General features: G+C 36.9%; 1 long non-coding RNA gene across 1 annotated transcript in view; it reads right to left on the bottom strand.

Moving 5' to 3' along the window:
* Positions 1 to 14,181, bottom strand: part of LINC01122 (long intergenic non-protein coding RNA 1122) — a 543,014-nt gene that overhangs the window by 394,228 nt on the left and 134,605 nt on the right. Inside the window, exon 2 of the long non-coding RNA NR_033873.1 lies at positions 12,828 to 12,889. This is a non-coding gene — a long non-coding RNA (long intergenic non-protein coding RNA 1122). The remainder of the gene's footprint in view (positions 1 to 12,827; positions 12,890 to 14,181) is intronic.

Below are 14,181 nucleotides of genomic sequence, written 5' to 3'. Positions count from 1 at the left end.
CTGCCCCATATCATATGCAGTGGATAAAATGATAAAATGACAAAATGTAACATCCATTCATGATAATAATTAAAAAAAACTCTTAGAAAACTAGAGAGAGAACTATCTCAATCTGATGAAGGGTATCAACAAAAAAAACCACAACTAACATCATATTTAATAGTATGTATTGGAAATACATACTCCGAAATTGGAAATAAGACAGAAGTTTCTACTCTCACCATTTCATTTTACTGGAGGTCTTCTATAGTGCAATAAGACAAGAAAAGGAAATAAAAAGGCTAAAATTAGAAAGGAATGAGTAAAATAATCTTTATTCAGAAAACTTAATTGTATACATAGAAAATTCTAAAGATTCTACAAAAAAGCTACTAAGTTTAACAAGATTTTCAGATACAATTTTAAAAATCGATTGTAATTCTAACATATACTTAGCAAACATTGAAAAATAATCAATTTAAAAAAAGCAATGCACTTTACAACAGCAATATTAATGAAATCCCTGGGATTGCTTCCCAGATAAACCATCTTCTACAAGCCTTTGTTTCAGGCTAACACAGAAACTAGTGTCAAACAAAATATACATTACAGTACACAGAGGAGTCCGGAAGTTTAAATATACCTAAAAATATCAGGAATTACAGATTACTTTTATTTTTTCATTTTGCTTGACTGTACGTTCTAATTTTTCCAAATGGCAAGGCATACTTATATTGTTAAATATAATTATCAACCTTCAGGCCAGGTGTAGTGGCTAATGGCTAATGCCTATAATTCTATCACTTTGAGAGGCAGAGGAGGGGCAGATCACTTGAGGCCAGGAGTTCAAGACCAGCCTGTCCAACATGACTAAACCCCATCTCTACTAAAAATACAAAAAATTTAGCCAGGCATGGTGGGGCACACCTGTAATCTCAGCTTCTCTGGAGGCTAAGGCATGAGAATCATTTGAACCCGAGAGGTGGAGGTTGCAGTGAGCCGAGATCGTACCATGGCACTCCAGCCTGGGTGACAGAGTGAGCCTCTGTCTCAATTTAAAAAAAAATCATCAACCTTCAAAATTCTATTATAAAAAAATGATTTTGCCATTAATTATGAATGAGCTAATTTGGCAAATTATTAACTAATCTTCTTCTTCTCTTTTTCTTTTAAGACAGGGTCTTGCTCTGTTGCCCAGGCTGGAGTGCAGTGGCACCACCAAGGCTCACTGCAGCCTCAACCTCCTGGGCTCAAGTGATCCTCCCATCTTAGCCTCCTGAGTAGCTGGGAAAACAGGCATGCACCACCATCCCTGGCTAATTTTTTTTTTGTAAAGATGGGGTCTCCCTCTGTTGTCCAGGCTGGTGTCAAACTCTTAGGCTCAAGCAGTCCTCCTGCCTCAGCCTGCCAAAGTGCTGAGATTTCATGTGTGAGCCATCACACTCAGCCTAATTATTTTTCTGAAGTCAAAATATGTATTATGACATCTTTTCCAAAATCAATATTAAAATATATAAAATTCAAAAATATTCATCAAGACATAAAAATATCATTGTGTACCTTTATATAGAATATCTACTATGCTACCAAATATAGAAATTTAATTCTAAGTGAGGAGGAAAATAGCTAAAGTCTATTGAATGTCAGACTCGTCATAAATGTTTTACATGTATGATCCTTTATTCCCCACAATAGTATGAGTAGACACTAATATTTTCTCCATTTTCACTTGGGAAAACTGAGTCGCCCAGGGTGAAACAACTGATGTGAAATGACACAGCCATAGGTGTCAGTGGTAGCACTCAAACTTAGTGAATCTGATTTCAGGGCCTACAGTCTTAACCAATGTGCAGAACAGAAGGCTCAGGGGTAAACAAGATGAAAATGTTTCTGTTCTCATGAAGCTCACATGTTAGCAGTGAAATAGAGAAAAATAAATCAATCAATAAGAAAGCAATTAGACAATGATAAACTTTGAGGAAAACAAAATACAGTGATATAAAAGATAGTGGAGAATGTTTCGGGAAATCCTAGATGAGATGGCATTTACTGAAACCTCAATGACAAGAAGCAGCCAGTCCTGTAAAATTCTTGGAAAAGCTGATCCAAGTAGATTAAACATCTGTGCAAAGGCCTGAGTCACAGCAATGTTGGTGTGTCAGAAATGCAGGAAGTGAGGGTACATAAGAGATGACTTGGAAAAGTAGGGCCTCACACAATGACAGGAACTCTGTCCTTTATCCTACGCGTGATGGAAAGCCATTGGAGGGATTTAGGAAGAAGGTGGTACCATGATATATTTCTGTTTTCAAAATGTCCCTTTTTGTACCATATAGAGCTTGGATCATAAGGAAGCAAGAAGAGAAACAGAAAGACCAGGAGGCTATTGCAGTGGCACAGGTGAGAGTGGCAGGTGACTTGGCACATTGGCTAAGGTAGGGAAAGAAAAGACAGATAGAGTGGACAGGTTAGATATGTTGAAGAGATAGTCTCAGCAGGACTTTCCAATGGATTGGTGTGGTGGGTGAAGACAGAGAAATAAAGAATTATATCTAAGTTTTTGGCTTGGGCAACTTTACATGGTGGTAACACTTCTTGAAGTACAGATGACTAGGGAATGAGATGGCCGGAGGGGAAAATCAAGTTAAGTTTTAAGTGCTTATTACACATTTAGAGTGAGAATTTGAAGTTCCATAAGAGGGGTCACATTGGAGACAGAAATTTGGCAGCCATCAGTCTATAGATGGCGTGTAAAGCCTTGGGACTGGATGAAGTCACCAAGGGGGGAGTGTGTATGTAGAGCAAGTAATGAACCCCAAGCTAAGGCCCTGAGCATTCTAATGTAGAAACTGAGCAGGATGGATAGGAAGGGGAGAATACTGGAAAGAGCAGCCACTGAGGCTGAGAAAACTAGGAGTAGCACAAAAAGCAAAAGATTAGCAATAATACTACAAATCCAGAAGGAGGGAGTGCTAATCTGGGTTGAACTCCTTCAAGTGTTGAGTGAAAGAGAGCTGTATCTTACTTTAGGCCAACAATATGCTCTTGCAAATCTTGTATAAATTTAAATTTTAATGACTCATTCTTACAGAAGAGCCTGATACCTCAAAGAACACTAAAATGAAGAATTTTATAAAGTTAAAGATATTTTCTAAAATAAGAGTGCATCTCAAAAAAATCAAATGAGTAAACCAAGATTTTCATATATCTGCTTGCGTAAAGCAGGATTTAACTTGTAGTATTCCAAATCATGGTGAAATTATTTTAAGGGTTGAGTTTAATTTCAGCTGCCATCGGAAGTAAACTCTAACATTTGGGTCATACGTTTATGCTATCTTTACATTCCAGAGCTCACACAAAAAGTTTTTATCATCATAGCTGCTAACATTTATTATGTGTTTATTTGAAATTAATTAATTTAATCCTCACCCACATCTTATTAATTAAATAATTTTATTATGCCCAGTTTTTTAAGATAAGGAAATGACCCTAAGAGAGGTTTAAGTGACTCTCAGTGTCGGCTAGGATTTCACATTTGTCATAACTACAGACTTTGGTTTCTATTTCTGTGACATGGTTAAATACCTCAGGGCTCTGTCTTTAAAATGTCATGGTAAAGTTTGTTCTCTCCCTTCTTTACTCTGCTATCCATTTTCCTTACATATCCATCCTGCCAATAAGCAAGAAGCAAGAAAAACAAGGTAAAGTAACAAGTTGAGAAAAAAGGAGAAATGAAAGAAAAGATAAGCATATCTGAAAACTCAGCTACAAAAGTGATTATGATTCAGTTTTGAGTCTCCTGGCAGCACAGGCAAAAAGTAACACACAAGAGACTACAAAATTTCGATTATCTAACAAAAAAAAAATCACTTAGATAAGAGACCTTTTTTGTCCCAATCCATAAGCTCAGTATTTCTTAAAGGGTTTATTTGAGGGAAACCAAACCATATAATGATTGGAGACTTCAAGAGCAATTACTTGTATAATAAAGAAATATTCGTCATCTGCACTTAAAACTTTCCATTAAAAATGTGATCAACAGCTTAGCATTCTCTAGAATGAAACTGTCATACAGTTCATGGTTATGTCAGCCTTTTAAAGCAACTTTAATAGATTTCCAATGACTTCAGAACCACAACCCTGAACTTTTACAAATGTCTACATGGACTCAGTAGAAATAAGACCTATTATATACCCTGTACAAATGGCCTATGTCACGTCTCTCTCAGCAGCAGCAGCATTTGTATAAAACAAAACCTTGGCAAAAATGTCAACACAATGCTTGCCTCCCAGCTCCAATATATGTCCTTTCACAAGCAAACTGCCATGGGTTTTAACTAAGGAAAAATCGGTTTGTTTTTAAAAAACTTCCTCATTATCGGCTAATATAACAGAAATGACCAGGAAGAACATGATTTAATATGAATTAAATGGGAATACAACTCAGAAGCTTTCTTCTCGTTGAATTAGATAATCAGAACTATTAAACAGTATTTCAAAATGCTTTTCATAATCCTGGGACCATTAATGTCATGTTCAAATCACTGTGGATTTTTGTTGTTGTTGTTGTTGCTTTTACTATTCATAGGGATACAATGAGTCATTGGCACATTTCCAGTGCAAGATGCATTTGAATAATACATTGACATGCCCTTTAGCTAGCATCATGATGCCAGATTTAAAACAAGGTAAGAAGTTTCCTCCATGTACACTTGCAGTGTTCAGCTGTTCATAATCTATAGCGTTAACAATTTATCATCAAACCCAGCGACTTGCTGCCAACTTATCAAAGTGGTCACTGGATGCATATGATCAAGTCTGAGCATCTGGCTCTCCTCTGTTCCTGACATTAGCACAGACAACAGAATCAGCGGACTATTGAATGCAATTACAGTAAGCAAGACAGACAATAAAGATTGATAGCGCCTTCTCTTTTTATCACACACAAAACTAGTGGGGGTTAAAGCTTTGCCTTGAGCTGCCTTCATTTAACAATGATTGAAAATATGCAATTGTGTTGGTAAAACACTGTAGCCTGTACCACTTCATTTACTGGACACATTATCAAATTAAATGAAAAGTGAACTGCCAAAAGCAACAGTTATTATATATTAATGATGAATATTTACTTAGCATTGTTCACAAATCATACAGAGAACAGAATCCTTCTTGTTATCTTCTTTGCAGGTTACAGTTGAGTAGGTTTAACATTTCTATGTTTACGTTAAGTCTTCTGTCTACAAATCTCTAAATACAGACTTGCACGATTGGTTTTGTGACTATCCATGTGATTACAATGTGTAATTAATAAAATGCTCTAGTTGTAGATGAATCCTAATTATTGAAGAGCTTTCCCCCCTTTATAACAATTCTCATTCTTGTAGCTACTTTTGAAGCCAGAGAAACTTAATCAGGGGTATATGTTGTGACCCAAAGGTTAGAAACTCCAGCTTTATTGAGCTTCCAAAATATAGAATGGAAAGAAGACTCTCAAGATACAGACAAGCTACAAATGTATACTTTATATTTTTCTCCGAAGAATATTGCTTTCATAGACATAAGGGGATATGACAGTTCACCTATAATTTGACCTACAACATAAGAAATATTTAAGGTGCAGAAGGCAAAATGAGACAGCATAGAACTATTGAGCAGACAAGGGAAATAGATCCTATTCCACAGTTCATACAAGAGGAAATTGCATTCTAAGCAAATATCAATAGATCTGAAAATATAAAAATAAGTGTTTTATTGAGAAGTGGACCCAAAGACATGATAGCAGCAGGCGTGATTATTCCAAGTGATGTAGATTAATTTGAGGTTCTTTTTAAAATACACATATCTGGCCCTTCCTTTCCAAGGATATATACTGGAAAAGAAAGTGCTCATATATGAAATGTAATTATGTCTCTTTTCTAAGAGCTCAATAAGAAAAGAAAAATAAGGTAAAAGAAAACAAGAAGCAGAGAATCAGTCATGAGGTTTCTAAACCCACCCCACTGGTTATTCTGTAAACAATTAAATGTGTACTAGGAAGTGATGGTGTTAGGAATGAGTGCACTGACCATATACAGTTAAAATAAACAGCAGCGTGAGGTGTAGGAAATATAGCAAGTGTGAAAAACCCACCAAAGTAATAGCATCATCACAGGAGACTAAATATCTGGGAGTTAAAAACGGGTACTGAATCAGTCTTCATGAAATATAAAGGAAACAATTATATTCTCTAAAATTTACCTTCAAGCAAAATCTAACTGAAATCACTGTTTCTAGGCACATTCAAATTCTAAGGTCCATGTTCCCCTTAAATCCTTTGGACATGTGTCAGCTTTGCCAATATACTCAAACCCAACTAACCCCCAGACTTATCTCAGGAGTTTCTTAATATGAAGATCCCTGAGTCCCAAGAATATTTGGTAAGTAAAATATGAAAGAGCAGAAAGAAAACCTATGATGTACAAGCCACTGTCCAAGATCCATCTTTCTATCCATGCATATCTTGATACAAAATTTCTCAAGTCAATAATATTTTCAGTAATGTTTTTTGGGGGGTCACTGTAAAAATTTTAAATGAAGACATAATATATGCTTATGGCAAAAGATTAATACATTGCATTTCATTAAACGTAGAAACACAAAAGAATGCTCTTGCCATCCCCTCAATAGCTGTACCACAGAGATAATTACTTTTAAAAGTAGATGGGTCCTTATAGTAGCTCTATGTATTCATTGGTTTATTTGTAAGTCTGTATATTTTACATAATAAAAATTAGACTACTATACTATTTTGTTTTGTTTTGTTTTTGAGACAGGTTTTCACTTTGTTACCCAGGATGAAGTGCAGTGGCACAATCTTGGCTCACTGCAACTTCAACCTCCCAGGTTTAAGCGATCCTCCCACCTCAAGTAGCTGGGACTACAGGCACATGCCACTATGCCTGGAAAATTTTTGTATTTTTTGTAGAGACAGGGTTTGGTCATGTTACCCAGGCTGGACTCGAACTCCTGAGCTCAAGTGATCCACCTGCCTTGGCCTCCCACAATGCTGAAATTATAGGCTTGAGCCACCACACCCAGCCAGCTACTGCACCTGGCAGAGTTTTCTTTTCACTTCATATTATACGGATTTATATCTAAATCTATTTAAAGCTACCTATTTTTGTTATTATTTGTAATGGTTATATAGTATTTCATGGTTTATATTATGGAATTTTATTATGATTTATATCATAATTATTTTAGCCTTTGCCTTGCTTTTAATATGTTTCCTACTTATTAGATATCTTTACTAAAAAAGAGAGCAATGTTTCCAAAGAGATTCTCACACTTTATCTTCATTTACACACAAGTGTTTTTGCAGTATTGATTCCTAGAAATGAAATTTCTGTATCAAAGATCTGTGCATTTTAAATTGTAATAGATAATGAAAAACTGCCACTCCAAAAGGCTGTATCATTTTCTACTCTCACCTACAAACAATATAAGAGGGCCCATTTCTTCACAACTCATGGATGCTAAATATTTTTCATAAAGTTTTACGAATCCAATGTATTAAAAATGGCTATCTCATTTTAAATTTTCATTTTTTGCTTCATTTCATGTGGTTATTAGTCATTCTTATTTCTTCTATTAATTGTTCATTCATATCATTCATATCCTACACTCATTTTCCCGTCCTGTGATTTATCTTCTTATTACTTTCTGAAAACTCACTACTTGATGTTTAATTTGTATATAATGTAAACATACAGGTTTTTGTCTGTTCTTTACAATGATCTTTCCCAACTCACAATTATAAAAAATCATCTATGTTATCTGTTTATATTTTTATAGTTTTTAAAGTTTAGAGTTTGAATATCTCTGGAATTTATTTTTATGTATAGTATGAAAATATGGGTTTTTTTAACTCCTCCAAGTGATTCTTGTTCCTGTTCAAGTATAACAGTCACCGTCATAGATTGCAATGCAGGCCAAATGCCTGGGTTTGAAACCCGGCAATCCTTTTTTACTTCATTGTGCATCCTAAATGTGAGAAAACGTACTGTCTTATTGGGTTTTAGAAAATACTGAATGAGTTAAGACATATTAAGAGCCTAGATAGGAGTATCCCTTAGCCCAGGAAGCCATGATCACTGCATTCCATCCTGCGCAAAAGAGCAAGACCCTGTCTTAAAAAAATAAATAAATAAAACTAAAAAATAAATTAAAAAAAAGTTTAGCATGGTGTCTCCCATGAAGATACCAATACACAGCAGCATTTTATCATTAGCATTATTATTTTAACACAGCTCAAACATCTTGTTTTTTGTATTCAATTCAAAGCATAAGCCTGGACAACAAGGCGAAACCCCATCTCTACAAAAAAATACAAAAATTAGCCTGGCACAGTGGTGCACACCTGTAGTCCCAGATACTCGAAAGGATGATGTGGGAGGATGGCTTGAGCCTGGGAGGTTGAGGCTTCAGTGAGCTGAGATTGCGCCAACTGCACTCCAGCTTTCAAGACAGAGTGAGACCCTGTCTCAAAAAGGAAAATAAAAAATAAACAAAGTATACTGCTACTTCCTTAACTTCTCTCAAAATTCAACGGCAGAGTATTCATGTAGATTTTCACAGGATTTTATGGAGCCAAAGGCTCCTTAAGGAAATGCCACTTTAAAACAATAGATACTTTTGTTTTCTTGGTCATCAGACTATTTTTAAAGTAGTTAAGTCCCGAGGGTCTTTTTTTTTTTTTGAGACAGGGTCTCACTGTTGCCCAGACCGGAGTACAGTGATACAATCATAGCTCACTGCAGCCTCAACCTCCCAGGCTCAAGCTATCCTCCCACCTCAGCCTCCTGAGGAGCTGTCAGTACAGGCGTGCGCCACCACACCTGGCTATCTATATATATATCTATATATCTATATATATAATTTTTTTTTTTTTAACTAGAGATGGCTTCTCGTCATGTTGCTCAGGCTGATCTTGAACTCCTGGGTTCACATGATTCTCCTGCCTCTGCCTCTCAAAGTGCTGTATGGGCCTGGGCCATTGCGCCTGGTCCTGAGAGTCTTAAAAATGTTCGTTGATACAAGTCAATTGCAGTATATAGAGCCTTTTCAATGTTTCGCTTCATCAAAGAATGTGTTTGGTTCTTAACTATACATTTTGAAAGCCTTGTGGGTAACCTCTGTCTGACATCCCAATTCTGAATATCCAGTGGTCCAATGTGCTTGGGCCTCCAAGGCTAGAAAGCCACTGTCTCCCGTGGACAAAGAGAGGGCCTGGTGACTGGTCCCTCCGTACGACCACAGGGCGCATGCCAGGTCTGTTTACTCATGCTGCACAGGTTGAGATTCTCCAGAGAAGAAACTGGGTTCCTACTGACCCACAAGGTATCAGAAGACCCCAGCCACTCCCTCTTCTCTGTTTTTCTAACTCTGCTTATCAACCAAAGATCTTTCTTTTGGTCTGGTGAAACAGAAGATAACAATAAAGCCTGTCTGTGCTTTATCTACACTTTGTGAGTCCAAGCCTCTGTCAAAGTCCACTTAAAATAATTTTTAAAAGGAATCTGCTCCTAGCTCCACTTCTAAAAGCACGAAATAAGTCTGTAATCAAATGAAATTCAGAAAGGGTATTACATTTTGTCCAGCACCAGTGTACAACATAGAATTCTGTAGGTGTCTGTGGTTATTATGGTTATTGGATAAATACTATTTACGGAGCACTTGCTGTGATCCAGGGACCATGCTAGACACTTTACATGTATTATCTCAATTAATCCTCCCAGCAACCTTTCGAAAATTTCTTTTTATTATCCACAGTATACAGAGGAGAAAGAGGAGGCACAGTGTGGCTGAGTAACTTGCTAAGGTCAGAGAACATGATGGAGCCGGCTTGAATTTAAAAGAAAAAATATCAAGCAAGATTTGTTTTCTTAAATAAGCTTTCTATTTCTTTCCCCAAACCATTCTTAAAACAACAGAACACATCCACCTAGAATCATTGTAACAAATTACTTTCAGTCCAGTATTAACAAAAATGCAGAAAAAGAAAGGAAAGTGGGAAGAATAAATCTCTAGATAAACAGGCAAAAACAAATCTAAAAATTATAGCTCTACCAACTATCTTGGAAAGTCTAGTTGTTATGGTCTGAATTACGTTCCCCTGAAATTCATATGTTGAAGGCCTAAGCCCCGGTACCTCAGAATGTAACAGTATTTGGAGATAAGAGCTTTAAAGAGCTAATTAAGTTAAAATGGGGTCTTTAGATGGGCCCTAATCCAATGTGACTGCTATCCTTAGAAAAAGAGGAAATTTGTGCATAAAGGGGAATGACCATGTGAGAAACATAGCAAGAATGTGGTTCTCTGCAGAGAAAGGGAAGAGGCCTTAGAAGAAACCAACCATGCCAACACCTTGATTTCAGACTTCCAGCCTTCAGAACTGTGAGAAAATAAATCTCTGCATTTAAGCCACCTAGTCTATGGTATTTTTTAAGGCAGCCCAAGCAAACTAACATACACCAGTAGCTGTATATTTTTGTCAAAGAATTGGGGGAGCCAGAATGCGGGATTCACTGAGAGTTGCACTATAACTCACAGCTTCTACACCGGCTACTAGTAATTTGCAAGAATTTTCTTACATAAAAGATAAAAGTGGGAGTCTAAAGGGTACAAAGATAATCTTGGAAATGGAAAAAATAACTATTTTCACTTGAGCCTATCCCAATTTTTATAAATAGGATCTTTCAAAATAACCTGTACAGAGGTAGATATCTTCTTCTGTTTGTGCGCGTTCTCTCTCTCCCTCTCCCTCTAACCCTCTCTTGTCCTGCTAACATTTCATTCAACATCCTTACATGTGACAGGCTTCATTCTCTCCACAGGTGGACAGGTATGCTGATTACGCTAAGAATACATTTGGCTATAGAGGAATGCATTAACTAGAAACATAGCATGAGGTTCTAACCGACAAACTCCTTAACATGCAATTTGGCTTTGATATTGGTTAAGGAAGACAAGAAGCAAGAAATCAACTAATTTCGGCTAGTTGTGGCTTACCTACTCACATTATCTCATCACAACAATGGCTCCCCTTTTACCACCAGTCAATGGGCTGGGAGCAAAATCAGTGACCTGAGCTTGATCAGTCTCCCAATCACAGCCATGCTCCCCCAGAAGCTGTGGGGTAACTGGCTTTACGCCACAGTCAGCCCTCCCTCATTTCTGCTCACTAATAACCTTTCTTTGCTTTTGTTTGGATCTTAATGACCTCAACCCTTCACAAGAAGTTTGTCTCTTTTTTTTTCCTCCTCAACATGAACATGAAATGGCAGATAACCTAAAGAAATAAATATAATTTAGATGTAAAATAAAATATATCTACTAGTGTGTGTATGCATGAGTGTGTGTCTCATTGGCATGCACCAGATTGTACTAAATGGCAGAAATTTCCCAAGGGAAGATAACCTCCAGATACTGCTACAAAGCTTTATTCCCTACACTCTGCAAATTATTTAATTTAAACACTGCTTGATATGACTCTCCTAGGAGAAGGGTGTTTTCCCAGGTCCATTTTTAATTTGCCAGTGTGTATATGCATGTGGGCCTATAGAACTGGCCTTGCAAATGCACACATTGCTAAGAGAATCTGAGCAAAAGCTTCAGATTGCATAACCAGGGGCTGCAAATTGCTGTCTAAAACTAAGAAAATGGTAAAACGCATATGAAATTCCTTCTTCTTTTTGGTAAGGAAAAAATAGATAAAGGTTCAAGTATCCATCTCCCAGGGTCCACACACCCAGACAGTTTCCATTTCCTTGAGAAACAGGACTAATTTTTTTTTAAACATCGTGTGTGTGTGTGTGCAGGTATATGCTGGCGTGTGCACCACTGTTCATTTCTCACAGAAGATAGTCACGTTTATTGATGCATTTTACTAAGGCAAGAGAAATAACACAAAGATTAAAGAATCATTTCTCATCAGCATTGGGTAGTCCTGTATCATGTGCCAGGGACACAATTTTTGGCATTCTTTTAATCCTGCTTCTTCCACTTGCTTAACTTTTACTGCTATTCTACGGCATAATCAGAAAAGAATACCTGGTGAAACAAAACCTTGAGTGTCCCATTATGAATTTTGCCAAATTTTGCCACCAAAATTCTTGCCCTTTTAAAGAATGTATGGGTCCCATTAAGGAATTCATGAATTTCTCTGCAGACAGAATTTCTTTACATACAGCTCCACAGAAGGGCTAACCCCGCCACACATGCATCCTTGAACACACAGGGCCCACCTTAGAGATTGTCTTGTTACCTTGGCTAAATCCATTTAAAAGCAGATAGGCATTAGACAGTAATTTCAATATTAACTTACTCTTCTTGCTTCTTCATCAGAGCAAGCTAACAGGATGTGAGCGCCTTTCACCCTTCACCTCGTCTTCCTCTAGTTCTCTCCCTATGTGGTACCCTCCGCACTGGTAAGGTGACTGCCTTCCTCCTGCCAGCCTAGTTATTTATTGACATAAGCTTGCATTCTGGGGCATTATCAGCTTAATGCATAATTCAAAATCTCTTGCATGTGGCCTGCACTTTTGCCTTATCCCCTGCATCCTGAATGAAAGATAAGAGGAAGTATTTCCAAAGTGGGCACAGAGAAGGATTCCTGAACATTAACATTACATCCCTACCCCCAACTCCTCAGAAAACTGCTTGCCTTGCAGCTCCCACACACCTTCACAAAGGCTTTATACTGAGGAGGAAACAGTTCAAGAGATGGCCAAAACTTTACACCAAGTGGGGACCCAAGAACCTTTCAGATGAAGAGGTCTCTAAAGGCGGAAAAAAAAAATCACAATTACCTTAAGTGTCACATCCTAGCCTGGCAGTCAGATGTTTTCAGCAAAGCAATAGTTTCAAACGTCTGTAAGTCAAAAAAAGAAAAATCAGCTTTAGCATTTCTTTTTTTTTCATTGGGGCCGGGTAAGGTACATGTGTGTTGGAAGGGGAGACAGGAGAGTGAATGGGAATACCGGCCAGTGGAAAAGGCTTCTTAACATGTTGAAGGAAAGAAGAAGAATCCAATTAGGAGCCAACGAGAGGACAAAAGGGAGAGAAGGAGAGTGAAATGTTAGGATGTAGATGAACTGGGGGAAAGGAAGAGAAGAAAGAGACAGGCATTGAGAAGAGCATACTACAAGATCAACTGTATTAGAAGGTTAATTCAGTCAGAAGCAATTCAGTAAAAATGGCTGGAATCATTTTTTTTTCTCTACTTAATTGCCTTCTGATTGTGTTGATTAAATTAACTAGTTTTTTTTAATGATGTGTGAAAAGAGAAAACAAGTGGATAAGCCCACCTGCAAACACTCAGATCCAGGTAACCTGTATGCTCTGACTTGAACACGTTAACAACTTGACTGACACAAACATGCACACACGCATATGTATGCATGTGCATGTGTGTGGCAATGTTGATTTTGTCAAGAATTACCATCACTGTCCCCCAGAATTTTCATAAGCATTCTGTATACATGCATATATATAATATATACACTGAACTTTGCTTTCTATGATCCAAAGATTAATTATCTGTTTGGAAAGCAGTTTGTCCTCAATAGAGTAAGTATGCTGTAAAAACGTACAAGCATCCTTTGTCAGCATGGCTTTTAAAATTCTAGCTCGCTTCCCCCTAATGCACCTAAAGTCAGGACATGATACTAAAAATCAGAAGGTCACCAATATCATTTGGACTTATTACTAAATACAGAATTCTAGTAGATGCTTTGTACATGCATTTTTGAGTCTACCAAGCAATAACGCCTCCTTTTTTATAAACATGAAGTCATGAATTATTAAAAAATTAAAGACATTTAGAATAATGGTCTTCCATAGGAAAAGTATTTATTTCAACTTTCATCATTCATAGTTTATTGCATTGATTTTTTTTCATCAGTTTACTTAGTATTAGGCTTCCACTGAACTCATCAATAAGAAATGAATTTGGTAACTTTCAAGTCCACTATATTATTTTTCCTTTTATTTGTAGTGAATTTTTCTTCTCTCAATGGTATTACTGCAATAAGTCAGTCATTATTTCTTTATGTTTTCCTTTCTTTCTTTAGCATTTCATTTCCCTTTACAGCACATCTTGTGATCACAAAGAAAACAGAGACACTTATTTCTTTTAACAGCTGAAATTGCTGCAAGTGATTT

The sequence above is a fragment of the Homo sapiens genome, chromosome 2 (assembly GCF_000001405.40).
Source record: "Homo sapiens chromosome 2, GRCh38.p14 Primary Assembly".
NCBI classification, from domain to species: Eukaryota; Metazoa; Chordata; class Mammalia; order Primates; family Hominidae; genus Homo; species Homo sapiens.
The sequence above is the reverse complement of the archived record's forward strand: the minus strand, read 5'-3'. Positions and strand labels throughout refer to the sequence as shown.